Below are 27438 nucleotides of genomic sequence, written 5' to 3' on the forward strand. Positions count from 1 at the left end.
ATCTTTCATGTCTTTCATTCTATAAATCTAAGTCAGAAAGTCTGCATAGGTGTCAAGATAGTTTTAGTCACCTAGAAATGACAGGAAGCCAGAGTATTCCCCCATCTCAATGCTAGCAAAAAGGTCAGTTTGCTATATCTTCCTTTGGCACATAAAACAATCACTCAGGCCTGACCTGTCTAGTACACGTTGGAGCCGCGTAGCAATCTCTTCTTTGGCATAGTGTTCATCAGCAATGAGGCTCTCAGCAAAATGTTCTAGGTCAGTGATCTTCCCTTCCTAAATAAAGGAAAAGGAAAGAGCCCAGATGCTTGGAGATTAGGCTCTTGGTGCAATCCCAGACTCCCTCCTAGAAAAGAATGAAGGTATCCTTTGTGGATTCAGAAGATATACTCAGGGTCAAATAATATATGCCTTACAGGGAGGTGGGTTTCAACTTAATAGGAGGAGAAACATCTAATAATGGGCTACTTGTGTGGTACAGAGTTCCCTAAAGAACAGACACTTCTCATGACCATTGTAGAGGGTGAATCCTTTATTGAGTGAGATGATGAAATGACTATTTAATCAATCCTAAAAGTCAGAGTTTAGAATGCTGGATTTAAAGTAAGAGAGTCTGCTTGCTGCCTGTGACTTGGGTGAAACAATGTCAAGTGTCAAGCTGCCCTGCCTGCCTCAGTTTTTCTGTAAGAAGCAAACAAGAATCAGGGCTGGGCACGGTGGCTCACTCCTATAATCTCAGCACTTTGGGAGGCCGAGGTAGGTAGATCACTTGAGGTCAGGAGTTCGAGACCAGCCTGGCTAACATGGTGAAATCCTGTTTCTGCTAAAAGTACAAAAATTAGCTGGGCATGGTGGTGGGTGTCTGTAATCCCAGCTACTCAGGAGGCTGAGGTAGGAGAATCACTTGAACCCGGGAGGCAGAGGTTGCAGTCAGCCGAGATCACACCACTGCACTCCAGCCTGGGTGACAGAATGAGACTCCATCTCAAAAAAAAAAAAAGTAAATCAAAATGTTTATAAATTATAAAACCAGACAAATGTGTAGGATTTCTGTTATTATTACTACGGATTATTATTTTAATTCCTTTACTAGTCATTATTACCTGGGCAGTGATTGCTTTGTCCAAATCGTCCCGTTTCTTCATCAAAGCCTCCAGACTGTCTAAGGAACTTTTGTCATCTGACCTCAGGGAATTCTCACGTGCCACCATCCAGCTCTCAACTTGATCACAGTTCCCCTGGAACATCTATGAGGAATCAAATGAGAGGGGTATGGTATAGTCCATGTGGTGTGGAGGAAATGATGTTACACCTCTTTCAGGATCATGACACAAAGGGTTTTGCAAGGAGTACTTACCATCTTCCAAGAAACACTCATGTGACAAATCTTAGCTGTACTGGAACTTTTCCTCTTTTCCAAACATACACTTTATGTTTCTGTATATGCTACCTCCAATTCCTGGGGTGCTATTTCCTATTTCTTAAACCTTGTTAATACTGGCTGGTCATTTCCTTAAGACTTTGTGAAACGTTATCCTTCAGGGTAGCCTGTGACACAACCACTTACTTCCCCCAAAAGCTTTAATCACTTCTTGTTTTTTAGCCTCAAAGCACTCGTACATTTTGGTTTATTAATAATCATCTCACTGTACTAGTAAAATTTATCTATATGTCTAATTTCACTATTTAAGAAATGGGAAACTATCTTACTAATCTTTGTGGCACTCCGAGCCTCCACAGAGTAGAGTCTCAACAAAAATCAGCCAATCAATTCCTCAGTCAATCAACAAATGATAGTCAACCCACCTCATGCTCAGGACTGATCACCATCTTGTTTGGCTCTTCTAACAAGAAAGAGCAGAGAATATGACAATGATCGGTATAGAAAGCATAGTACAATGCTAGGTAATTAAGAGATGAGCTCCCTTTGTGTTTATAACGTGGAAAGTCTAGTGAACGGAGCCTGTAATGACCATATGAAATTGCATAGGAGAAACAGACTACTGAACCTGCTTAACAATTGGGAAATTTGCTGTACCTGCAACTCCAGGCACTGGTCTAGGATCTTCTTGCGTTTTTCCCAAGCCTTCTCCAAATCATCTCTCTCTAGCTTGACAGCTTGAAGCTTTTTTTCAATTTCAGGGCTAGCATGGTGCCCACTGTCGATAAGTTCTGCACTGAAGTCCTCTAAGGCCTGGAAGGTGGGAGCCTCTGCCTCCATGTCAGCACGGTGCTCCTGTGGGAAAAAGGGGGAAGAAATCAGTGAGGCCAACTCCATTGGAAATTTTAAAATTAGTAGAGGTTTCAGGTCAAGTGATCAGTGGCTGTGACTTTTGTAGTTTTACCTGATGTCTCTCCAGCAAGATCTCTATGCCAGTTAAGTCTTCGGCCAGCTCCTGTGATGATACCATGCCACCAATGCTACTGATCCAGTTCTGCAGATCCCTAGATAAACAGACACATTGGAATTGACAAGAAAACCTTGCAACTTGCTACAGTGCTGTTTGTCCTACAGTTTTCCATTCTCTAGAAAACATTTCCAGAATAACATTTTTTATCTGGCTTTATATGCTTTACAGATCTTACGTTTGCTGTTTTTATTATATCACCTAATGATAACAATCCCTTGTATTTGAAAGCCTCTTCACTTTTATTATCTTTTTCAATTCTTGCAGTAATCCTGCAGAGATTCCGGGAATTTTTTGTTTTCATTATGGAGATAAAGAAGTCACCTTAGAAAAGGTAATTAATCTGCCTATGTGGTATAACTAAAAGCAGACATCTTCAATAAAACCTAGACCTCTGGAATCCTGGACTGTTATATATTTCATTACTTCTGTTGGTTACTGTTCCTTTTAAGTGGTTTCTAGGGTTTGAAGATACATCTTATTACAGAGTCTCAAAGAAATCATGTCTTTCCTCTTACTTTTATTCTCAAGTGAATCTAGCACATATTTTGGCCAACATACACATACACACACAGGCCTCCACACTGTTGATTAAATCAAGGTCTATTTCCCTACCCTTTTAGTAGTCAGGAAGTTAGACGAGCAAAACTAAGGTCTATCTTCTTAAAAGGCAAATTTTAACTATGCATTAACTTTAAAGCATATATGGTGTATAAATTAAGCATCTCATAAAGAATGTCATTACTCTTGTTTGCTCAACAGGAACCCTTAGCTCTAGGAAAGAGAGGTCTCTTCTTTTGTAAATTTATTTATTCAAGCAACTAAGTTTTATTGGGTGCTTACTAAGTACCAAACATTGTGAAAAAGGCATATCTGTGCCTTCTAGGAACTCATACTTTAGGTTAAGAATGGATAAAAACAAAACAAAACAAAACAAAAAACAAACAAAAAACAGAGCATAGGCACTAATAGCAATTAAAAAACAAAACTGAAAGCAAAAGTATCATATGGAGTAAAATAAGATGTTAATGTTGCTCAGGGGTGGGAACACTACTCTGAAATACTGAGGAGTACAGCTTCATAAAGGGAAGGAAGCACCATTGGAATGGGTGTGGGTGCTATTTATTTAAACTGTGTCAAAAACTATAGCTTTCCAGTGCTGAACTGGGGAGGGGATTTCCAAGAGGAACTACAGTCATTTGCCAAAATTTGCCTCCTTTTTTCTTGAAAAGCATTGCATTGAGAGCTACAACTTCCTGGACCCTCTACTCTAATGCTCCTCTCAGCTGACTGATGCGATAGAGCCAAACGTGGGAACTGTTCCACAAAGTATATGTTTGAGAGGTGAATTTTGGATTGTGATAATGTCTAGACTTTAGTAAGATATTCACAGTTCTCTGGAATTTGGTCCCAATATTATTTTTAAGTTTATCTCTTACTACTTCTCCTTACCACCCCCTCCCCAAACATGTTCTTATGCTTATTCTTTTCTCATGATTATGTCTTTTTTTGCACAGTTCAGTCTACATGAATTGTTTTCTCTTCTGTTAAAAGTTTGACTGATAAGGTGTAATAAAATGTTACTTTATCTACAGTGCATCATCTATTCTACCCAACTCTGAATTCCCACTGCTGTTTGTTACAATGTGTGTTTTCGGCCTCATTATGTTCTACCATAGTTATTTGTATTCAACAGAATACTGAATACAGTAGAAGACTGAATACTACTGTCTCTTCAGTAGAACAAAAAAGCTTCTACATTATAGAAGCTTACTTAATTGGCCTACATGGCTTCATATTCTTTCAAACTTTGTATTTTATTGCTTCTAGTTTCAAACCTGAAATTTTTTATGCCTTGCAAGAGGTGAGACTTAAACGTAGTGATGCCCTCCAAAACCAGCAGTGAACAGCATCTGTACCCAGACTGCTCCCAGACAGTCTACTTAGAGGCCAGACACGGAAGTTACCCACCCCACTCTACCTGGCCTTGCTGAGGAACAGGTAGAATTTCTGGGCCTCATTTAGGCTCTCCTTACGATCCTTTGTACGCCCCTGCAGGTCTTCCCAGGCCTCATTCAGCTCCATTTTCTGTCTCTGCAGGTCCTCAGTGGCATCTGGATGGGACTCACTGAGCCGCTCTGCTGTCTCCCCCAGTATGGTCACCTGGGGAGGTACAATAGCTCTGATAATCAGCCTAGAGACACACCTGAATCTTAGCAAAAGGAGAATCCTGAGTCCCAGTATTCAGCTCCTCAAATAGATATCAGTGATGTACAAGTATGTCATCATACTTTACAAAATAATATCAACCTTTTAGTCCACATAACTCCCTAAGGTAGTTACAATTGGCATTACCATACTTCTTTTTAAAAATAAGAGAGTTGTGGGGAAGAGTGGTTAAGTGACTCTGCTGGTTAGTGGCAACCTCAATTAGGAAACCCAAGGGTCTTGATTCTTCATGTGAGGAGCTTCTTTTTGCTCTGCATGATAATGCCAAGCCTCTGAGTATATCTGACAAGCTCCAGAGTACACTTTTGGGTTGAAACAGAGTTAAACAACTCATTCAATTCCTTGCTAAGAAAAACATGCACCATACTCAGATATTGGCCTGATCATCCTGGGTATGGACATTTGCTATTTCTTCTGGGCTACTGGCCTCCACCTAGCTGCCACAAGATCTGGTCACTTGTAACCCACCAAAGAGGCAAGGGGATATAGGGTGCTCACTCAGACAGCAGGAGTTTAACAAGTTTTTTCCCCATGTTAATGGTCATGGGGCATATCCTTTTCATGGTCTTGCCTTAGGGACAGTGTACAAGAATAAATATGGCACAGAACAGAGAGAAATATAAGAATAAAAGACTGAAAAAGAGAACCAAAGAAGAGGGCATTGGTATACGGCTAAATATAGACTGGAAAGTGTTGGAAAAGCTTTGAAGGACTTGTCTCACCTTATCTCCCAGGGGTACGAGGTCCCTTTCAAAGCCCTCATGCCGTCGCTGAAGAGCCTGAACACTGAACAGATCTGAGCCAGGGTCTGCAGCACTGAGGGCCTGGCATTTCTTCTCAATCTGCTCCTTCGTGTCATCTGCTTCTCTGGTATACAAGAGAGTAGAGAGTTCAAAAGTAAGGATATGTACCAGAGGCAGGCTAGTGGGGGTCACAAGAAAGTTATCATCACTACCACTCACCATCCTCCCACCCACCCCCCCACCCCAACCAATTATCATCATTGTTTTTTATGTGCTAGAAACTTAGGCTCATTTAATCTTCACAACTCCAAGAAGCATAGTTACTATTACTATTCCCATTAAATAGATCAGAAAACTGAGGACTAAAGAGGGTAAGTATTTTCTCAAGATTATACCACTGCTGAATGGTGGAGCCTAAGCTTGAACCAGGCCATCTGACAGCAGTCACATGCTTAACCATCATATTTCCATAGCTTTCTATCTTAAGCATTCTACACACACAGACCTGTCTGAGTCTGTTTTTCCTTCCCTGCATCATCAAAAATACATTTATACACAATGAAGGTGTTTAGTTTCTGTTTTGTTTGTTTACTTTTTTGTATGTGTCTTTGTGTTTCTTAGTTTGAAAATCAAACAAGAAAAATGTTGAATGAGCTGATAGTCAATGTGATGTCTGTTGCCCTCTACTGTCAGCTTCTAGTTGAGAAATGTAATTACTTAAACCTCCTGTTTCAACTTCAAGTTTCTTTCTTTCTGTTTTGATTTTGAAGATAAGGGTCTCACTCTGTTGCAATAGGCTGGAGTGCAATGGCTTGATCAAGGCTCACTGTAGCCTCAGCCTCCTGGCTCAAGTGATCCTCCCAGCTCAACCTCCCAAGTAGTTGGGACCATAGGCCTGTGCCACCACACTGGGCTAATTTTTCATTTTTTATTTTTTTGTGGAGACAATGTCTTGCTTTGTTGCCCAGGTTGGTCTACAACTCTCGGCCTAAAGCAATCCTCCTGCCTCGGCCACCCAAAGTGCTGGGATTACAGCTGTGAGCCACTGCCCTCAGCCTAAGTGTTATTCATTTTCATGGAAACATATATAGACTACTAATTATGTTCCAAGGCCCAAGCCTAGGCTTTAGAAAATTGAAGCTAGTTGTCTGGGAGTATCCTGTTTGTGAAGTGAGAATCATACTACTAAAAAACCTAATTTTCTATTGGCACATTGTCTCCATCTCACGAAAAAAGATTATACTATGGTTCCACCATAGTAATAGACTTAGAAGTTTAGTGAGTGGGTTTTAAAGCAGCACTGCTTTTTAGAGTTATAATTATTACCTGTGAAACACTTCAACAGCATGGGCACTGCCCAGCAGCTGCCGCTGTTCATCTGCAAGCCTCTGCAAAGAACCCCAGCGGGAATTCAATTCCTAAAAGAGGCAAAAACATCAGACTTGAGACAGAGAACTAACTCACATGGCTCAGTGGCGTCTGAAGACCAGACAAGATTTAAAACATAGTTGTTTTTACGTTATTTTCTTCAGAAATTGCATAGCTTTGCTTCTTTCTTGGACAGCTTGAGCTTGGGCCTCATTTTTGCCAGTGCAGCAGAGAAAGTGATTTCTTCCCAAACTGATGTTAAAGGGTGAAACCATCAACTCCGGAGCAGTAAATAAGTGCTTGCTATTACAAAGACTGCACTGTAAACTCCAAAAAATGAATGGGAAGTGTTGCCTTGGTAGTTAGAAGTGATCACATTTCTCTAAGACAAACAATTCTGTATTCTGAATTGAATAAACCAGGTAGACTTTTAAAGCCCTACTTTCTATAGGGGGTAAGTACATTGTTCCGCTTCGTATTTCTTCACCTTCTTATCCCATAACAACCACTATAAAAACAGGCAGAAAACTCATCCTCACTGACTATGGCATTCCAGAGAACTAGACTGAACATTTATTAATGTTCATTAGATCTTTTATGGAATCATAGATCCAGATCTGAATCAGGTCAAGAATGGCCTCTCCTCTGTCTCTACTGACCTATATTCTCCTTCTTCAGCACGTTGATCAGAATCTGTGTCTTCCAGTAAACTTTCTTGATCAACCTCTTCCCACTATCATAGCTTCTTTATCTGCATTGTCTTTGAATTCATGTAATTGAGAATTTCTTCTGTGTGTGACAGTGAAAGAGAGGTGAGTATGTGTTGTAATTTAAGAATTTTAGATCAGTTCAAATGTATATATTCCAAAATTGCAGTTCAAATTCAATTATATTATTGGGTGGACATGTAAGGAAAAAACTTTACGTTTAATTTGGTGTAGCCTGGTACAGAAGATTAAGAGGAGGTTTGGATATTGTAATTTGGATATTGTGCTATCCAATATTTGCTTTCAGATATAGAAACTGAGGTTTTTAGAAATGAAGAGACTTGTCTGAGGACACACAGTCAGACAAGAATACAGCTATGATGTAAATCTAATTTACCTAATGTCCAGTGTAATATTATCTAAACCTCCTAATCCTGCCTTTTAAAGCTACATCTTAATTTCTGCTACCAATACTTTTGTCTCCTTTCCCACCCCATCCATGAAATGACATATGTGAGGGCATGGAGGACACTCAATATATGTTAACAAATGAGCCTGCTTTAATTAAGTTAATTTAGACAACAAAAATACAGGGACTATTTGGGCTATTGTCTTTGGCCTTTCCTGTAGCTAATTCCATACTGCTGTTACCTTCTGCATGTTCTAGTGGGTCTGCAGAATATAAAGTTCCATGTTGAAGTGAAATGAGGACTCCCAAAGCCCAACCTGGTAGTGAGGAGGAATGGAGGGAGCCTTAGTTACCTGCCGGATTTGAGCTCCTTCTGGTGTTAGAAGTCCTTCAAATAGTAGATCATCAGCTACCTTGTTGATATCCCTTAGCCGAGGCTCATTGGTATTCAAATCCTGAATGGGAAAATTCATCCAAAGCAGTGTAAATTCATCCAAAGCAGTGTAAATCCCCTCATCAAGAATCTACCATACTTACCTGTCCATCTCTGCCCCTACATCACCGTAATACACACCAAGCTCCTCTCCTCCAATCCACCACTGAGAAGAGTATCCTTAAAGATCTTGACACCTAGTGGCTGTCCAAAACTTGTCAAGATAACTATTATTTATCTGTAGTATGAAGCACAGCCATTTTTCTAGATTTCTTAAAATCTCCCCTGGATTAAATTATACCATTAGAGGGATTGATACCTGAGCTGTGTAACATCCTTTTCTACCAGTACAAACTCCAGCTTTAAAGATTTCTTTAACTGAGTTATTATCTGCCTATATTATGAGATATTGTAAGAAACAGCTCTAGGGAGTGCTCTCTCTCTCTCTCTCTCTCTCTCTCTCTGTGTGTGTGTGTGCGCGTGTGTGTGTGTTAAATCCCACGTGGAAGATATCAAAAGAAAAAGAAAAGAAGGAATGTACACTCACTGCTAGTTAAGATAATGGAAAAAAATCTAAGGGAAGAAAGAATATTGAAAGGGTTTTAGGTAGGCAAAAAATTAGAAATTGTTTGTCAAGTCAGGTTCTTCCTTCTTCCACCCCAAACTCTGCCCCATAATTAAACTTTACACATGGTACAACAATACCTTATCCCAACCTGGGCACTGGAAACAAAGTATAGTATAGGGCAAGTTGTGAAGAATTCAGGAAGACCAGCACTCCAGGGAGGATTTTGGAGTGGCAGGCACTGAAGGCTGCAGTTAGGGTAACTAGTTTTCTCTGCATTTCCCTTCCAATTATTAGCAACTACAATACCTAGAGGGAGATCTCAGCCACAGAGTTGCCAATAGCTTTGGGGAGAATATTTAACAAGTGTGAAATAAATTAAAAGATCATGTAGAATATGCTGAGGGATAAAAGCAAACAATGGCAACCTTCAAGAGAAGGTTCCTCTTTCTCACCTTTTGGAACTCATCAAACTTTTTCTGCAGCTCCCAAACATCATCTAGTTCCACTCCAGTGTTTTCTGCCTTTTTCTCTTGAATCCATTCCAGCATGTCTCCTGCCTCATAGGCCAATAAAAATTCATTATAACGTTGCAATAGACGACGTCTGCGTTCTTCTGCCCGATCCAAGAGGGAGCGGTATCTGGATGGAGAATTGGGAAAAGTGGAATAAAAGAAGGAGAAAATACAGAAGAGTAGAGGCTGAGTGACAAACATAGAGAAAGAAGGAACAAAAATGAAAGGGAAAACAAATCAAAAGCAAAAGAATAGTAGAAGAGAGGAGGAAATAAACTTAGAAGGAAAACAGCCTTGGGGGCAAAAAGATAAACACATAGGATTGCATTTAAAAATAGTAAAAATGCCAGTGACCCAATAGTATGACTGGCAACATTCCTTTCCCATTTCATAAAAGTGACATTTTTACATGGTAACTGACAATTGGATATGAAAAGCCTGGCATAGTAAACAAAGTTCATATAGATGTCAGGAGACTTTAATAACCTTGAAAGAATGTGGGGCAGGGAATCAGAAGAGCTCTGTGAAGTGTATGACCTCAGGAAATTGATGGAATGATTCTGGGGTTGCCTTTCCTCAAAAAGAAACCGAAACATTTAAAAGATTCTAGGTTTACTTTCGATTCTTAAAATCTTCAGATTTTCTGTGGCATCTCAAATCTAACAGATGCAGGGTCATGAGAAGAAATGCCTTTGGCGAAAAATGTCTGACCAAATACTGTTCAGTTCTCCAGGCTCCAGAACTTACTGGTTCTCAATCTGCTCCTGGCGCTGGGTGATGTTTCCTGGCTCTTCTCGTCGCCGCTGTGGGAGCATCGGGAACTCATCGTGGGCCAGTCTTCTGACATAGACAGCTGGGACAATGCCCTGATGATCAGCAGCTTCCACCTTCCACCAGTCCTGAAGGGAGAGCAGATCCCCACTCCGTCATTAATTCTTGGAAAAGCAACAAACGGGAGAGACTTCAACACTAAGTCTCTTGGCCCAGGCACAGGTTAATGGCAAAGATAAGCTAACCATGTCTAATGAGTGGCACATAATTTTCATATATGACCAAGAAATGAAATGAAGAATTGCATAGACAAGCCCCTGAAATCAAGTAATCTGATACCTAATGTTAGACCCTTAACTTTGGAGAGATTTTCAAACACCCAAGACAGCTCTTTTAATGATGGGGCACTTTGTTCATGAGGAATTTACAAAAAACACATGGAGCCAGGCTCTAGCTGGATTTCTTGGCAGTGGAGCGTCTGTGTAAGAGGATATTGCACAAAAATTCTTCTCTTCTATTCTTCTTGCAGAGGTCTGAAAAATGTGAATTGCTCTGACATTCATATACCTGAGTGTTACTTTATTTTTTATTTTTGAACTGTTGCCACATCTACCAAAACCCTGAGGCTAATTTCCTCAAAAAATAATGAAGAGGCCTAGACAAAGAAAAAATGGACTGGCACACATTATTTGATAATGAAACATCTGCCGCTCCAAACATTTACTTGTCTTTGGAATAACTATAGCCCAAACTATTTTCTTTTCTTCTTAAGAATTTTTGTAGATTAATTAGGTATCAGAGTATAAAAAATTACTTCAGTTTTTATGAAAAATATATTTAAAAATCTCAACCAATATTTTATCACTGTTCTTCCAGGCACAAGATCTAAAGAAAATCAAGTTGACAAAAGACTCATCTTTTGGTAGGCTCCTTCTAACCCCAGACATTGTTATTTTATCACTAGAAATACTGGCACAGAAGAGGAACAAGCAAAGAGGAAGAAAGAAAGAGACAGCTTAGCCCTTTAAATATATTATAGAATTTCCACTCATACTTTCTATATCTTTGGGCTAATTATATAACTTCAATTCTTTATGATTTTAACTGCAACATTGGGATTATAATTCCAAAAGATATGTGTAGGATCCTGCAAAATATCTACAGGAAAAATACTACCTAATCAGTTATAGTTATTCAAGAAATAAAATAATAAAATAAATGTTAGATGGTAAAAATATGAATATCTGGCAGGATTGGGAGAGATGGTTCTGAAAGAGCCACTTTTTGATGGAAAGATTAGAAGGAAAAGTCACCTTATTGATGGAACTGAGCAGCGTTAAGACATCACCTTTCTTCATGGTGACTTCTCGGGGGCTGCGGGCCTGGAAGTCATATAAAGCCATGACCCTTTGTTCTCCAGCAACTCCCTCCACTGGTGCAGCCTGTTGTTGCTGAATAAAAACAGGAAGCAGGTGTCAGTCACGCACTGGAAATATCTCCCTGTACAGCTTACCAGGGGTGAGTAGTCCTTTAGGCTTCCCAGGAGAAAAGAGCCTCTGGCTGGAACCTCTTACGTGGCTGCAGAGATTAAAGTATGTGGTCTTCAGAGAGACTGCTCCATTCTGACACTTATCGGGGACAGGCAGGTTGGGAACTATAAACCCAAAGCAAGGAAGGAAATACATAATTTGTCAGAAACGTATTAAATGCTCTAAGCCATCAGTTCTTAAAATGGGAGGAGTACATTTTAAGAAGTGTACTCCCTTAAGAAGGTCCAACAGGATTATACACATCAACATTTCAAAAAATTGTTTGAGAAAGTGAAAAGACCCACTCTCTGTCGTCACCTTTCCCTGTACCTCCAGTGATAATTCTTCCCACTCCTTCTGGCCTTTAAGTTACTATGTCAGGAGCTCCGGACCTTCTATTTGAGATATGAGTGATCAATAGCACAGGAAAGGCCACAGAATTTTAAAAACTGAGAACATTAACTGAGATCATTAAAAGTATCTTGTGTCTCAGTTTAGTAAGCAGCCTGCATTCTAAGGTAGAATTTTCTCTGATTTTTACTTTCTGCCAATTTCATGTCTCTGAGAAATCAAGCAAAACATAACCCCTCTTCCTAAGGAATGACCCACCCCTTCCTCAGGTTGGAGTTGAATATGCACCTCCACCGACAGAGCCCTCTAATTTCATCTCCTTTAGGTAACATGTTTCCTCATACCACACAATATATAAATCCTTCTGTTCTTGTTTAGGCACCCACTGTGCAGAGCCTGGTGAAGGCACAGTATAGGAGGTCTGTAAATATACACTGATTTGACAGACTGAGTCTACGTCTTTTGTTTACTCTGAATGTGTGGATTAACAACCTCTCATTAGAAAGAATTCCTTGAAGGTAAGAAGTGTGTCTCTTTTTTTCTACCACTACATATAGTAGACATTGTTATAACATTTATTTGATTCCAGTTCAATTAATCTTCATGACACCCAGTTTTGCCCTGTACCTGAGCCATTCTCATATTCTCAACCAATTGCATCTTCCATTCTCACATTCTTAACCAATTGCATTTTCCACAAAACTTGATTGTTTTGTGCCTCAGTGCATTTGCTCTCATGGTTTATTGACTAGAAAAACGCTTATCCTCTTTCTCTGCACAGTAAACTACCCATCTGTCTTTCCTTAATAATTCAGATCAGGCGGTTTCCCTTAGCTTACAAAAATTTTCCTGTTTTCCAGTACTGTTATTTCAAGAGAACACAAGAGGCCTTTCTTTGAGACTCTTTGTCCTGTTCATACATCTATTATATGCACTTACTGTTAAACATCTGGCCTCCTAATAGACTGTAATTTTCCTGCAAATCAGGATTTTTTATTCATACTTACATATAGTAGACATTTAATAAGTTTTGGCATTAAAAATTAAGAAACAAAAGAAGGGAGTAAAGAAGAAAGATAAGAAGGAGAGACATAAATGAAGAAAAGTAAGAAAGAAAGAAGGGTAGAAATATAAAAGGAAGGAAAGAGGAAAGCCAAAAATACATCAATGAAGACATGATACCATTTATCAAAAACCTCTTTTGGACAAAGTCTCCTTTGGACTAAATTGTGGATGCTACAGTTCCTGCATACAAGGGTCATAGAACTTAGTGTTTTCTTTGCCATTGTTTTTGGGGTTGTAGAAAGTAAAAAATCAGCAATAAAGACAATTTCTTTTTCTTTGTGGTGGGAAGTGTGAATCCTGTCATCGCTAAGTTAGTCTTACCTGGCAGGCGTTTGCCTGATTCCGCAGAGCTTTCATACTGTCTCCAAATGAATTGAGATCTAATAGAAAGGCCTCATGCTTCTTTAGAAGAGCCTGCATTTATTGATGGAAGATCATCAGAATGAATATAGGAGGAACACTATTATTTCAACTACTATTATTTTGGGTTATGCTATTTGTCTTAAATCCTGGTAAAAGCTGCTTTCCATCTATCATAAAGTTATTTTTAACCCTAAATTTGCAAGCATGAAGGAAATAGGAATTAATAAATTATAATTTCAATATGTTTACTAAAATCAAAATTAACTCAAACTTGCAAAAGTATTTTTATCAACACAGATTATAGCTGAAAAGAGGATGCTGTTGATACTGTTACTTTATAGGATAAACATTAGTGTAACTTAAAATATGCATACCAATAATTTCTAGTTCCAAAGGTTTGTGAAATACTATACCAGCTTCCTATGGGACAATGTGCAAAACAAATAAATGGATAAAAAGTGTGATTATAACCTTTGTGGTTCTTCTTGCCCCAACATATCTGTCCAATTTTATTTTAATCAAGTAATTAAGGTGTCTCTATCTTAAAACCATGATTAATTTATAAATGCTCAAGGTTACTCTGGAAAGTTTAGGATCGGATTATGACTATGACTCTGATCACACTTTTTTGATTTAGATAATCTCTAAAGAGTATATGAATCTCCATGGGATGAGAAAAATGTAGCATATCTTTTGGGATTCCTGTCAACTCTGAGGGAGTCTCAGCAGATGAAGGCCAACGGCGACCACTCTGGAAACCCCAAATAATCTGGCAGAATCTGTAGCTGTCCCACAACCTAAGCAAACCCTAAATTGATAATTTGGTTGCGTTTGTTGAGGATTCACAATGTTAAACCCACCCCCACCTTACCCCAGCTGCTTCTTCATCAGCACCATAGTTAGTATTATCTACAATAGGTTCCTTCTCTCTGATCCATGTTTCTGCTTCATGCAGGTCAGCCAGGTACTGCTGGAACTGGACATTGGCTTCAAGATCATTTTGTCGCCTAGCAGCTCGAGCACGGAGAGACTCCATATTCTGGTTCAAACTCTTGACCCTAGAGGCCACATCTTCTGCAGCAAAGTGTCCTATGGAGTAATTATAGAAAAGGTGAGTATGATCCTCATGAGTGTTTACCATACTCTAATCCTTTTGGTACCTTGGAAAAGAGAAAGGAAGTGATAAAAATGGTATGTTATTTAGTCGACGTTATATTTTTCTTGAGTTACCTGGGAATTGAAATATCCTAAGTGAGATTAAGTAACAAAAGGTACTAATGGGAGATATGCATGTGGTGGTGAATGGGTTGGTATTGTCTGACAAAGACAGACTTGAAAACAGAATACTAATGTGTGGGTGACTGAGAGTTCCAAAATCATGTCTTCTTTAGATGAAGCAGAAAAATCAGCTGATTTCCATTTCTTCCCATAAAGGAGTTATTACTATGAGAGTTGCTCTTCCACCCTAAACAACTAGAAAACAGGAAAAGCTGTAAGATAAAATGATTTTCAGACAATGGAGAGAGGACTCTGATTCCTGAGAGAAGGGAAATAAATGAGATATATTTTATAATTGCCAAGCTTATGCCTCAGGAGGTTTCTGGGCTGTAGGCCTGGGTAGCTAACCCAGATAGAACCACCAGTCACACTGAATTGAGGACACAGAGATCAACATTTGGGAAAGACAAGAGAACTAGAACTTGTGAGGTTGAGTGTCAAAGAGAAGGGTGTTACAGAGAGATAGACCTTTTCAGAGAAGTTCCCTAGAGTATTTGTCTGATTACTCATATGCACACATGTATAAGGAAATCCTGGAGGGTGAGAAAAGAGTGACTTAAAAGCAGTGGACAAACAACTTCTAGGCCTCAATTAAGAATGAAAATAGTTAACATTCCACCCATCAAAGTGGAAAAATATTGTAATACATGAGATAGGGTCCTCAGAAGAGTAACATATCTCAATATTACTTTCATCTCTAAATCAGTCCCCTAATAAACCCTGCCCCAGGAGTACCATAACAAAACAGATCCAAGGAGCTCAACAATCACCGAGCTGAATAAACAAGGAAAACTCCATCAAGTTATAGCATAATCAAGTTGTTTAATACCAGTGATAAAGAGAAAAGCTTTAAAACAGGTAGAGGGGGAAAAAAAGACATATTACATACAGAGGAGCAAAGATCATGATGACAGCAGACTTCTTATCAGAAGCTTGCAAAGTCAGAAGACAAGACAGCACATCTTTAAAATACTGGAAGAAAGAAGTTGTCAACCAAGAATTTTATATGTAGTGAAAATATATTTCAAAAAGGAAGGTAGAATGAAGACCTTTAGATGAACAAAAGTCTAGAGAATTTATGGATAGAAGACCTGCAATATAAGGAATGTTAGATGAAGTTCTTCAAGCAGAAGAAAAATAATACAAATGAAAATATTAACCTAAAGAAAGGAATGAAGAATACTGGAAATGGGAACTATGAGGGTGAATTTTTTTCTCATTTAATAATCTCATTCAAAACCAGTTGACTACCAAAGCAAAGATAATGATGTTGAATTATAGGGTATATAACATGTAAAAATTTAAAATATGTGACACCAATAGCACAAGGGTGAAAACAAATGGAAGTATCAATTTAAGAATCTTATATTAAACATGAAATGCATAATATTATTTGAAATTAGACTATGATAGATTAAAAAAATCTATATTTTAATTCCTGGAATAGTGGCTTTCAAATTTGTGCTTTTGGGATCCCTTTACAATTTTAAAAATTATTAAGAATGCAAAATATCTTTTGCTTATATAGTTAGACTGATTAATAGTTCCCATATAAGAAATCAAAACAAGAAGCTTTGAAAGAAAAGAATGTACAAGCATATACTCCATTAGACAGAACAGTGACATCATCACCCATCTCTAGGCTCTGGGAAACTCCATTCTATGCTTATAAAAGAATAAGTCTGTAAAAGAAAATAATAGTCTTAGCATTATTTTTTTTTTTTTTTTTTTTTTTTTTGAGACGGAGTCTCGCTCTGTCGCCCAGGCCGGACTGCGGACTGCAGTGGCGCAATCTCGGCTCACTGCAAGCTCCGCTTCCCGGGTTCACGCCATTCTCCTGCCTCAGCCTCCCGAGTAGCTGGGACTACAGGCGCCCGCCACCGCGCCCGGCTAATTTTTTGTATTTTTAGTAGAGACGGGGTTTCACCTTGTTAGCCAGGATGGTCTCGATCTCCTGACCTCATGATCCACTCGCCTCGGCCTCCCAAAGTGCTGGGATTACAGGCGTGAGCCACCGCGCCCGGCCTAGTCTTAGCATTATTATGAAAATATTTTAACTTTGTGAATCCACTAAGAGTGTGTCAGAGACCCTAAAAGGACTCCAAATCACAATGGCAAAATCACTGTGCTATAATAAACATACACACACAAACACAAAACAGCAATTGTAGCTAATAGGCCAATTTGAAGATAAGATGGAATCACAATAAATACAAAATTGATCTAAAGGAGACATAAAGTGATAGATAAAAAGAAAAAACATAGCAACTTGCCAGATTTAAAATAAACCATATTGATGATTGCACTAAGTGTAAATTGTCTAAATATCACAATTAAAAAAGAAAAATTACCAGATTGAATAGAATAAAAACAAGGCCTGATTATATGCTATTTATAAGAATCTCACTTTAAATATAAGAAACAGAGTGCAAGCAAAAAGATGGAGAAATATGCACTATGCAAAAACTAATCAAAAGATAGCTCATGTGGCTTTTATTAGTTTACTAAAGGCTTCAGAACAAAGAATTTCACCAGGGATAAAGATTGATATTTCATAATGTGAAGATTTAACTTCATCAAAAAGACATAACAATACTAAATGTATATGCATGTAATAACAGAGCTTCAAAATATAAGAAACAAAAACTGATAGAACTGAAAAGAGAAGAAGACAAAATCTACAAGTATAGTTGAAGATTTAAAAAACAGGCGAATTTCTACAGTTGTTGGTTTGAATCACTCAGGTGGGATCTGAAGTTTTTCTCAGCAAACTGAATTTTAACCTATACTTTTGAAAACTAGATACTGGTTGGCATCAACTGATTCTTCAATCAACAGAGGGAAAATCCCAGTGTAATCTGCACTGCTTATACCATACCTGGCTTATGATGTTCAAAACTGAACATCATACTTAAGCATCAGGAATTTCTGAATTGGATGAAAAGAATGAACAGAGGTATTGAAACTATATGAAGTGAGAAGCTAAAGAAATGGAACAGTTTACTATAAAAATAGTTCAACACTGCATAACTAAGATCTGCCTTCACAGATCTGGAAGCTCCCATATGGAAAAGAGACCTGATTTAATTCATAGGGCTTTGTAAATTAGATTCTGAATTCTGGAACTTCTACAGAGAAGCATATTAATGATTAGGATAAAGACATTTTACTTTAATAATTTTTGTTTTACAAACAAATAGTGGTTCACAGGATTGGAATATTCCTGTTATTGAAATATACAAACAAAACCATATGCCCATTTGTCAGAAATGCCAAAAGAGCATTAAGTGGGAAAATGAGTCAGATATTTTTAAATTCCCTTGAAACCCTAGGATAGTACAAACTTCTTCCCAGAGGTCTGGCCTGGTGATGTTTTGTCCAACTGAATCTCAATCATACATACCTTCCTCTACCATTTTGTTTCCCCTTTCTGTTATCTCTTGAATGCGTGGTTCATGGCTGGCAATGTTCTCCAGGATGACTCTATGCCTATTCAGAAGCTTTTTGGAAGCAATCAGGTCCTTTCCTGCAGAGGAAAGGAATTTCAAAGTTTCGGATTATCCTGGTGTATGGAAGTAGCATACCTCACTTTTTTAGAACTCTTGGACCCACAGGTTCTTTCCTTTGAAGTTCTAACCATTGAGTAAGATTCTTTAAATTTATATCATCTGTCTGATTTCACTCTACTTATCTTTGTTCTTCCCCTGGCCTCTTTTTATTAATAAATTTCAATTCACTGTTATACAACAGATAATGAAAACATCACTATTGTTGTTGAAAGATAGGTATGAAGGCAAGTAACTTCTTAGTTCAAATGTCCAATATTAGGCACACAATTGTCTTTCAGCATATTGTGATGTACAAGGAAGGAACTTCTACTTGCTAATTTCTATGGACTTCAGAAAGTTTTTAAATCTTCTATGCCCAAGTTTTCTCATCATGAAAAAGGCACAGTGTAACTGGTTTGAAGATCTATTTGTAATCATTAGAAATAACTTACAAAAAGTGCCTCATTGATTGCATAGCATTAACAAGCAAACAATAAATACTTCTCACTGTGAATTTCCTTCATCTTCTAAGATCCCGAAATCCTGCTGTCTGCTTTATCCTCCCTGTATCCTAACCATGCTTTATCTCTTTTCCCTCTAAACTTTCTTTCTTACTACTTCCCATTCAAAATATACTCTCTAGAAACTTTCTATGCCTTTCCAATAAGCCTCAGGCTTTTATCTTCCAGGAAGTTTTCCCAGACTAAACCTTTCATTGTCCTCATTGTCCAGCCTTTCATAGATGTTTCCAAACTATGCATACTAAGTTGCACTGTATTTGTGTACACCTTTTTCTCTGCCTCAGTATAAGTGTACTGGCTTCGACACTGGTGAACTAGCAGCTTCTGAAGGAAAGGACAGTATGTGCTTTATCTGCTACTTCACCCCTGCTATTGTCAGAAGAAAAATCTCATATGATTTATAAGAAGGGGCCAGCTACAGCCTAAACACAAACACTTAGTATCTCAGGCATTAACCATGACTGTTCAAAGACCTTCACAGTTTTAGAGCACGCAACAAAATGCTGAGCACTCTACTCTTCCCAGGGGCCCTAAATTCATGGCATTGCTCATGTCCAGTTTTAGGAGGTGTAATTTTTTAGTATAATTTTTAAAAATATTTTTATGAAGGACTGGACAAATTTTCATGAGTGTGAGAAGAAACAGCTAAGAGCAAGCTTTCTAGACTCCAACTACTGTACCCCAGATCTCTCTCAATATATAGACCTTGGTCCTTTCCTAGTGGCTCAGCCTGCTCAGGCTGTACTAACCAAGGTAGGTGGAAGTAGCTGAGGGTTCAGTCTCTTGGATCCAGGCCTCCTCATCCTCTGTGTCTCTACAAATCAGCTGCAGATGGAGAAGGTCTAAGAGCTTCTTCTTTCGGGTGGCCAGTGGCTCTTTCAGAGCTTCAAATCGGCATACCAAGGACTCTTGCCTTGCCCTTATATCCTTAGAATCAGGATGGCCTATTTCTTCAAAATATGCAGCCAGGTCTGTAAGGATATCCACCTGATCCTAAGGGAGAAATAGAATGAATGCGAAGAAATCCCATCATTTAGTAGGAAGTAATAGGAGTTTGTCATGGTGGAAACGGGGTCATGGGAAAATCAGTTCCCATATGCATTGTGTTCTGATCTCTAATTAAATCAGTGAAATGGAGTTGGAAGGGTTGCTACACTGGGGACCACCACATCAGGTAAGGGCTATTCATACGAAAGTAGTTCTCAAAACATATTTTAGAAACATCAAAATATTTATAGAATGCTTCAAGGAAATCAGAAAAATTAGAATTGCAGAGTTTGATTGTTTAAGAGTATTGACAAACTGGGCCTCAAGGAAAAAACTGGAAGTGTTTTTCTATCTCAGTTCACCTTCTGTATTCTTTCTCTCTCTTTAAAATGAGCTATAACTGCAAATAAATGGAAACTTCTCAGGCTTAAGTTTGTTGCATAGCAGAAACAATACCTATGAGATGAAACGTGATGTTATAAAAAATTGTCAGAAGCTCAGAAAGATAAATTTAACGGAGTGCCTTGCCACCAGCTAGTTGTCCTCCTTTGAATCATATCTGAGAAAGGAGAGATACAGAAACAGGATTTTGAAGGCTCTTCCTAGAAATCAAATTTTAGTTGTATACCTATATGGTGAAATAGATACAATAGGTACACTACATTTTTATTAGTGAGGCAAACTATACCTGGCCTGGCAGACACAGTACCCAGGATTTTTATTTGCCTTTTTTTCTCGTTTGTTCATTGGGTATAAGAGTGGCACATAAGCAAGTGAGAGGTAGCATTAGGACAAATACCTAATGCATGCAGGGCTTAAAACCTAGATGACAGGTTGATGGGTGCAGCAAACTACCATGGCATATGTATGCCTATGTAACAAACCTGCACATTCTGCACATGTATCCCAGAACTTAAAGTATAATAATAAAAAAAGAAGTTCTTCAAGAACAGAGAAACATCTGGCACTTTGTTTTATTTTTGCTATTTTGCCATTCAGTGCTCAATCTATAAAGGATTTTATCTATGGCTCCTCAATTTGGAAAAAAGTTTAAAAATATGGACTATCAGTAACTTCTTAAAGCACATACTCACTTCTCCATAAAAAAATTAAAGGCCTTACACTTTTACTCTGTGAGTAGGAGTGTAAATTAGTTCAACCATTGTGGAAGACAGTTTGGTGATTCCTCAAGGATCTAGAACCAGACATATCATTTGACCCAGCAATCCCATTACGGGGTATATACCCAAAGGATTATAAATCATTCTACTATAAAGACACATGCACATGTATGTTTACTGTAGCAGTATTTACAATAGCAAAGACTTAAAAGCAGCTCAGATGCCCATCTATGATAGACTGGATAAAGAAAATGTGGCACATATACAATATAGAATACTATGCAGCCATAAAAAAGAATGAGTTCATGTCCTTTGCAGGGACATGGATGAAGCTGGAAGCCATCATTCTCAGCAGACTAACACAGGAATGAAAAGCCAAACACCGCATGTTCTCACTCATAAGTAGGAGTTGAACAATGACAACACATGGACACAGGGAGGGGAACATCACACACCGGGGCCTGTCGAGGACTTAAATACCTAATGCATGCAGGGCTTAAAATCTAGATGACAGGTTGATAGGTGCAGCAAACCACCATGGTACATGTATACTTATGTAACAAACCTGCAGTTTTTGCACATGTATCCCAGAACTTAAAGTAAAATAAATTAAAACCAAAAATCAGATAACTTATAAGGAAATAAAACTAAAATCCCTCAGTAGCCAACTGTTCTCATTTCTTAGGACATTTTTGTAAATCAGAACATAATGGAAGGATTTTCAAACATAATCATTATCATCATCACTATAGATCCACTGTACTCTTTGAAAACCTCTAACGTAGTGCAGGATGCACCAGGCGAGGGAGAGAGGATATCTGGCTCATATACTTGGCTGCCAGTCCATTGCCATTTGATCTTGGGGAAAGTTCTTTCACCTGTTTTGATCTTAGTTTCTTAAACTATATAATGAAAACTTTGGGCTAGAAGATATTGAAGATCTTTTTCAACTTTAACATTCTATATCTAAAATTTCCTTTGCATGTATCATTTCTTTGCCTCTACCCACATTAGGAGTTCAAATTCCTGGTGACCAGCCACCCTAACTTTCCCAAATGGTGTCACACACTCCTATTTCTTAAGCTCTTACATGTAACATTTTATCTTCTTCAAGATGTCCTTTTTTGTTTGCTTTTAAAGAAAAAAATTAAACAAATTATACCCTTCCATCCTTTGAAACTCTGTTCTCCGGGTAGATTTCAGAGCTATATTTGTATGATTTTTCCTACTCCAGTCTTTTACTTTATTTAAAGCCCCAGAGAGCCATCTCTAAAGGTATACAAATGACTTTTTTCCTGTTTTCTGTAGATTATTCTGTTTTTTTCCATTTAACTCAGAGTGACCATAGAGTAGGCATCATGAAAGTGTATTTTTAAAGGCAGATTAGTGGGATCTTCTAGGGAATGGCGGAATCATTTTTAAATACAAGCTAGGATTCCTGGGATGAGAAATTGAATGGGCTGGAAGTGGATTTCCATTGAAATCTCCCAAACCTCACATAGAATATCCACAACCTAGGAACTTTTGGAATAAATTCATTTTAAATAAGAGTCTGTTATGATGTTGGAGAAAATATCTCTGAAACTAGAAACCTTGACATCAGTTCATTGTTCTGGCTCTGTTGTTAATTTTCGCTGTCACATTGGGAAAGTCACTTTACTTCTATTGGTTTCAATTTTCCTTATTTTAAAAAAATGTAGGATTTAAAATATTTTTAAGCTTTGAATCACAGAATACCTGAACAGGAAAAGACAACTTTATCCCAACCCCTTATTTTATAGGTGAGGATAGTGAAGATACAGAGATGCAAAAAGTGAAATGACCTATCAAAGATCACATAACTAGTAAGCCACAAGGATGTATATACAACCCAGATTTCTAGATTGAGAGAAGAGTTTATGTTTAGAAAAGTCAATAAAGCCTTACACTAACCATGAGGTTCTGACCAAAGACACTGAGCACCCAGCACCCCTGGCTAGATTGGAGGAGATTTTGGGAAAAAGCAGTTGGTTTACTAAAAATTTCGAATTTTTACCTTTGGTTCTTTGCTCTTTTGCTCTCTGAATAATAATAATTACTTATTAAGTAATAATTACTTATTACTTAATAATCAGTGTGCTCAGAGCATATACACCCATTGCTTATTATTACTTATTAAGTAATTAATAAGTAATAATTACTTATTACTTAATAACGAGTGTGCTCAGAGCATATACACCCATTGCTTATGGCTGGCCAAAGAGCTAACAACAAACCTGACGAGCAGCCACAGCCGACTCCAGGAGGCCGTGTTTCCTGAGTCGATTCTGTACCTCGGCCAGGCCTTTCCCATAATCCTCAGAGGTGACTTGCCACTCAACATCCTCCAGCCAGCGCTGCAAATCTTCTGCATTATTTTCAAATTGCAGCTGCTGGTTGGCCTCATGCAACTGGGTCCCTGGGAGAAGACATAAGGTAGAAGACATTAGGTACCATAACTATTCCTCTTTACACTATAATATACCTTCCTCCAATTGAAGGATCAATATAGTATTTTAATATTGCAAAGAGGGAAATATAACTGTCTCACATGTCTCACAAAAAGTCATCTTAAATTTGTAGAATTCTGATAATATTTGTTTCTGAATATAGTAATGTTCTCAAAGCAAAAATAAATAAGAAGTTATATTGCCTGATAAGATATAGTTCTGCTGTGTCAGATTTTAACCATCTTGGGTGTTTCCTTATGTGATTTTTACTCTCTATCCAGACCTCTTTTTCAAGGAAATTCAAATCCAAACACTCTATTTTCTAGGAGAAGCATAATGAGGTTGGTTCAGTTTGAAATTTATAAGTTTCTTTTTATAAAATTATTTCACTGAACTTCGCTTTCCCCCCTTAGTGCCTGTCTTTCATCACCAACTGTTCCCCACAATTTTATCTTCCAGAAAATGTCTTCATTCACACTCTGCTCAGATTGATTCTGTACTATTATCTTATTGCAATTATTTGCATTATTTCTGCAAAGGAATTGCTGTGTCTCCTGATGGTGAACAGTAGCAGTGATATATTGTCATACCAAGTTTGATTTTGTTTTTCTAAACCAAAAATAAGGATGGTATCCAAAAAAAAATCAGTATGACATATTTATTCTGTAATCAAGGAAAAGTTATGTTTATAGATGATGTTTATAACAAGGGGCACATGAATAGAAAACTCATTATTTGTGTTAATTACTAAAAATTGATTAATTTTCCAAAGTAAAGGGTAAAATATAAGTGAAGACTCTCCAAGAAGACATGTGAGATTGTTTTAAGATCTTATAGCAAGCCTAAACACTTTCAAATAGGTTTAAAAAGATCAACAAGTCATCAGTCTCTGTAAGAATAAAATGTAGGAAAATCACGTGTGACATCAACAATCTTTTAATGTCTAATGAGTCATAATATCTTGTCTAGCTTATAGAACCAAAATAGGTAAAACTCATGGTTCAAAAATACTTGTTCAAGGGAAAGAAAAACAACAAAGTAGGAAAAAAGTGAGGAAAACAAAAGCAATTTCAGCTCACCTGCCACTGCTAAAAAATTTTTTTTTAAAAACCTTACACCCTTGAAGGAAACATAAAATTGTGTTAATATATAGTGTTATAAATTCAGGTTGGATTTTTAAAATTTTACCAATAAAAGAAAGACACATGGAAGCAAATGAGTAGTATACCTTCTCATAGAGGCCACCAGATAAATTTACAGTGGTAAAGATAAAGGTAGTAGATTTCAGAATTTAGAAAATGACCTTTCACCAAAACCTCTGCTTTTTACCTTTCTGTTTTGTAGCCTCCAGCAACTCCTCCCAGAGGCTGGCAACTTCACTCAGACGAGTGGTCACATTGTCAGAGGCATAGTGACCACCCTCAATCATCTCTTGGCCAGTTTTCTGTATGTTTTCCAGCTGGGTCTTATTAACTGCCAACTCCTTTTCAAAGACTTGCTGCTTTTGAACCCTGCTCTTCAAGTTCTGTATGTCCTGAGATAAGATGAAAAAAAAAAAAAAAACCATTACCTGAAGAATGAGGGACAGAAATTTTGAGAATAAGAGGTTACTTCTCACTATAAATCTAACGAACGATGCTAACAAGAAGATAAAAGGGGGAAGTTTCCTAGTCCAACGTTTGAGAAATTCATGCAATGAATCCCTCTTTCTACATGTGGCAGACATGGCGAACTAAGCTGGCAATTTTTTTGCTGGACTTAGATATGGCTTGAAGATCATTTTGAATATGACACCCCATTCAAGCACTAACAATCAGAGCTGTCATGAAAGGTGAAAATTATCTTGCATTCCTCACCGCATACATGAACCTTCCATCCATTTGACCCATATAGAGATCTGTTTATTAAACATATAGTGGAGCCATAACTCATCTAGTGAATGCAAACACATATGAACAAGCTTCACAAAATGAAATGCAAGGATAAGATGTTCATAGCTCTATCAAGATATAAGAACAAAAGGATCAGAAGTATACATTTAAAACTAAATAATATCAGGAAAATAAACACTTTCAATAGATACCGGCCTAGAAATCAAAAGCCTAATTCTCATCCTGATGGTAAATGTGAAGGTTTGTAAACATACAAGTGTGTACATAATAGTTTATATTATATAACATTTTTGAGTGCAATATATGTGTTAGTACAACCCTAAGGAAGAGTAATCTATGGCACAGAGATAATTCAGGAATTTCCATAAACAAACTAAAGCAAAAATTCAAGCCCAGGTTTACCTGCTCCAGAGTTCATGCTTCTAACTTTTTGTTAAACCACCTTCTAAATAACTGCATAACTTTGGGCAACTCACTTCTCAACTTAGATCCTGGTTTCTTTAACTATAAAATAAGGGGCTGTTCTCTTCCAGCTATAAAATTTTATAAGTTTATATTATACCAAATATTTAGGTTACTTTTGAGTTCCTAGTAGTTTTCACACACTTTAAATGTATTGATGGGATTAGACACAACATTTACCTACTATACGGATGCAGAGGGGAGCAGAAAAGGTGAGAAAAGGTCAATAAGCAGCTCAATAAGGAACATTCCCTACCTTCCCCCATTTGGCTAAGAATCACCAGAAATTGTGCCAGAGGAAAGAGGTGAAGAACATCAGAATATAGGAAAACCAAAATCTAGATCCTTGATATTTAACTGTATAAATAGCCTTCAGGGATTCATTGCCCTTTTCTGAGCCTCTGTTTTGTCATCTATAAAATGAGGATCACCAGCTGAACGCTAAAGTTCATTTTACTCCAAGACTGTACTTCCAATGAAAGGAACTCCTGATAACTACATCCAGCTCCTGAAAACTCTGCCTACCTTGTAATCTTCATCATCTGCCAACTTTTTCTTCTTGTTGATCCAGTTCTTTAGGTCATCTGAGTCCTCATACAGTTTTTGCAGAAGCAATGACTCCTTCAGCAATCTACGTCTAGTGGCAGCCTTTTCACGTAGGGCATCCCGCCGGGCTAACAGCTGCAAAAACCATGAGTAAACTTACTGTCAGCACAACCAAATATGGACATGTGAGATTCGCTGACCACCCTGGTCACCATGCCCACCAAAACTCTTCTTGATTCTAGTGTGTAGGCACACAGAAGCTCTAGGCCCTTGGACATACCCCGTCACGGATAGCCTTGATGTTCTCTGAATCATAATGGTCATCACCAATCAATTTGGTTGCAGTCTTGTCTACAGTCTGAAAAAATAAAAATAAAAATGAATGCTTTTCCTTCAGTGACCACTGAGTAAGTGGCCATAGTTTGGGTAGCTGTTTAAAGATGAAGAACAGCAATGTGGGAGGAGAAGTTTGAAGGCCAGCAGATGTAAGTCCTTATTCAGGTTTCTGTTATAAATTGTATTTCAAAATATATACCTCAGGGCATGTCAATTACATTCTCTGTACCACAATATTTTTTAAATACAGGTTACAGTAAATGAATGCAGATGTTGCTATGAGATGATTGATTTATTCTTGTCTTCAAGGGGAAGCACTACCAATGATATAGCCATGTCCATGGCCAGTCTGTCCATCCATCTATCTATCCGTGTATTCATCTCTCAAATATATCTCTATCTCTATCTCATCTCTACCTCTATCTCTATCTCCTTCTATCTCTAGCTCTAGCTATATCTCTATCTCTATCTCCAGTTACATAGGAGAAGAGTCAGAAATTATAGAGGTAAGTTTTCACCCTTGTTTAACCAGAAATCCCCCAAATTGCTAGAGCTCAGAATTAATTGATTGGAATAAGAAAATGATCTAAAATAAATGATAACACTTTATAAACAATAAATTATTTTACACTGTTAGCTTTGACCAATGAGAATCAACAGAAAGGACACACATATCAATTAATGAGGGACTTGATATTAATTGGACTTCCACCTCTTCACCATATTGATTTAAGATTAACAGAGAAGACTAGGAATTTGCCTGTTATTTTTGTTGTTGCTGCTGCTGGTGGTGGAGGTAGTGGTATGTATGTGCATGTGG

General features: G+C 37.8%; 1 protein-coding gene across 8 annotated transcripts in view, besides 1 other annotated feature; it reads right to left on the reverse strand.

Annotated features, from left to right (window-relative positions):
• The window catches only part of SPTA1 (spectrin alpha, erythrocytic 1), a 76012-nt gene that overhangs the window by 32443 nt on the left and 16131 nt on the right, over positions 1–27438 (reverse strand). For 7 of the 8 annotated variants that reach the window (XR_921911.4, XM_011509916.3, XM_047428883.1 and 4 more), the window contains 19 exons: positions 26563–26640; positions 26262–26417; positions 24712–24916; positions 23170–23351; positions 19556–19799; positions 18141–18263; positions 14331–14548; positions 13418–13510; positions 11465–11602; positions 10128–10279; positions 9321–9507; positions 8221–8322; positions 6710–6801; positions 5363–5507; positions 4393–4574; positions 2349–2448; positions 2042–2239; positions 1107–1250; positions 176–279 (listed from right to left, as the gene is read on the reverse strand). Coding sequence is in view for 7 of the 8 variants with exons in the window: in XM_011509916.3 (XP_011508218.1) it covers positions 176–279; positions 1107–1250; positions 2042–2239; positions 2349–2448; positions 4393–4574; positions 5363–5507; positions 6710–6801; positions 8221–8322; positions 9321–9507; positions 10128–10279; positions 11465–11602; positions 13418–13510; positions 14331–14548; positions 18141–18263; positions 19556–19799; positions 23170–23351; positions 24712–24916; positions 26262–26417; positions 26563–26640 (2843 nt within the window). In the remaining variant the exon portion in view is untranslated. Of the gene's footprint in view, positions 1–175; positions 350–1106; positions 1251–2041; positions 2240–2348; positions 2449–4392; positions 4575–5362; positions 5508–6709; positions 6802–8220; positions 8323–9320; positions 9508–10127; positions 10280–11464; positions 11603–13417; positions 13511–14330; positions 14549–18140; positions 18264–19555; positions 19800–23169; positions 23352–24711; positions 24917–26261; positions 26418–26562; positions 26641–27438 lie in introns of those variants that run through there. The other variant, XM_047428888.1, reaches the window with a different exon arrangement.
• Positions 15560–15760: a silencer, noted in NCBI's record as "peak429 fragment used in MPRA reporter construct". NCBI's record gives its function as "represses an SCP1 promoter by STARR-seq MPRAs in K562 erythroleukemia cells {active_cell/tissue: K562}" and the evidence as "EXISTENCE:reporter gene assay evidence [ECO:0000049][PMID:32103011]".

Source organism: Homo sapiens, chromosome 1 (assembly GCF_000001405.40).
Source record: "Homo sapiens chromosome 1, GRCh38.p14 Primary Assembly".
Lineage (NCBI taxonomy): Eukaryota > Metazoa > Chordata > Mammalia > Primates > Hominidae > Homo > Homo sapiens.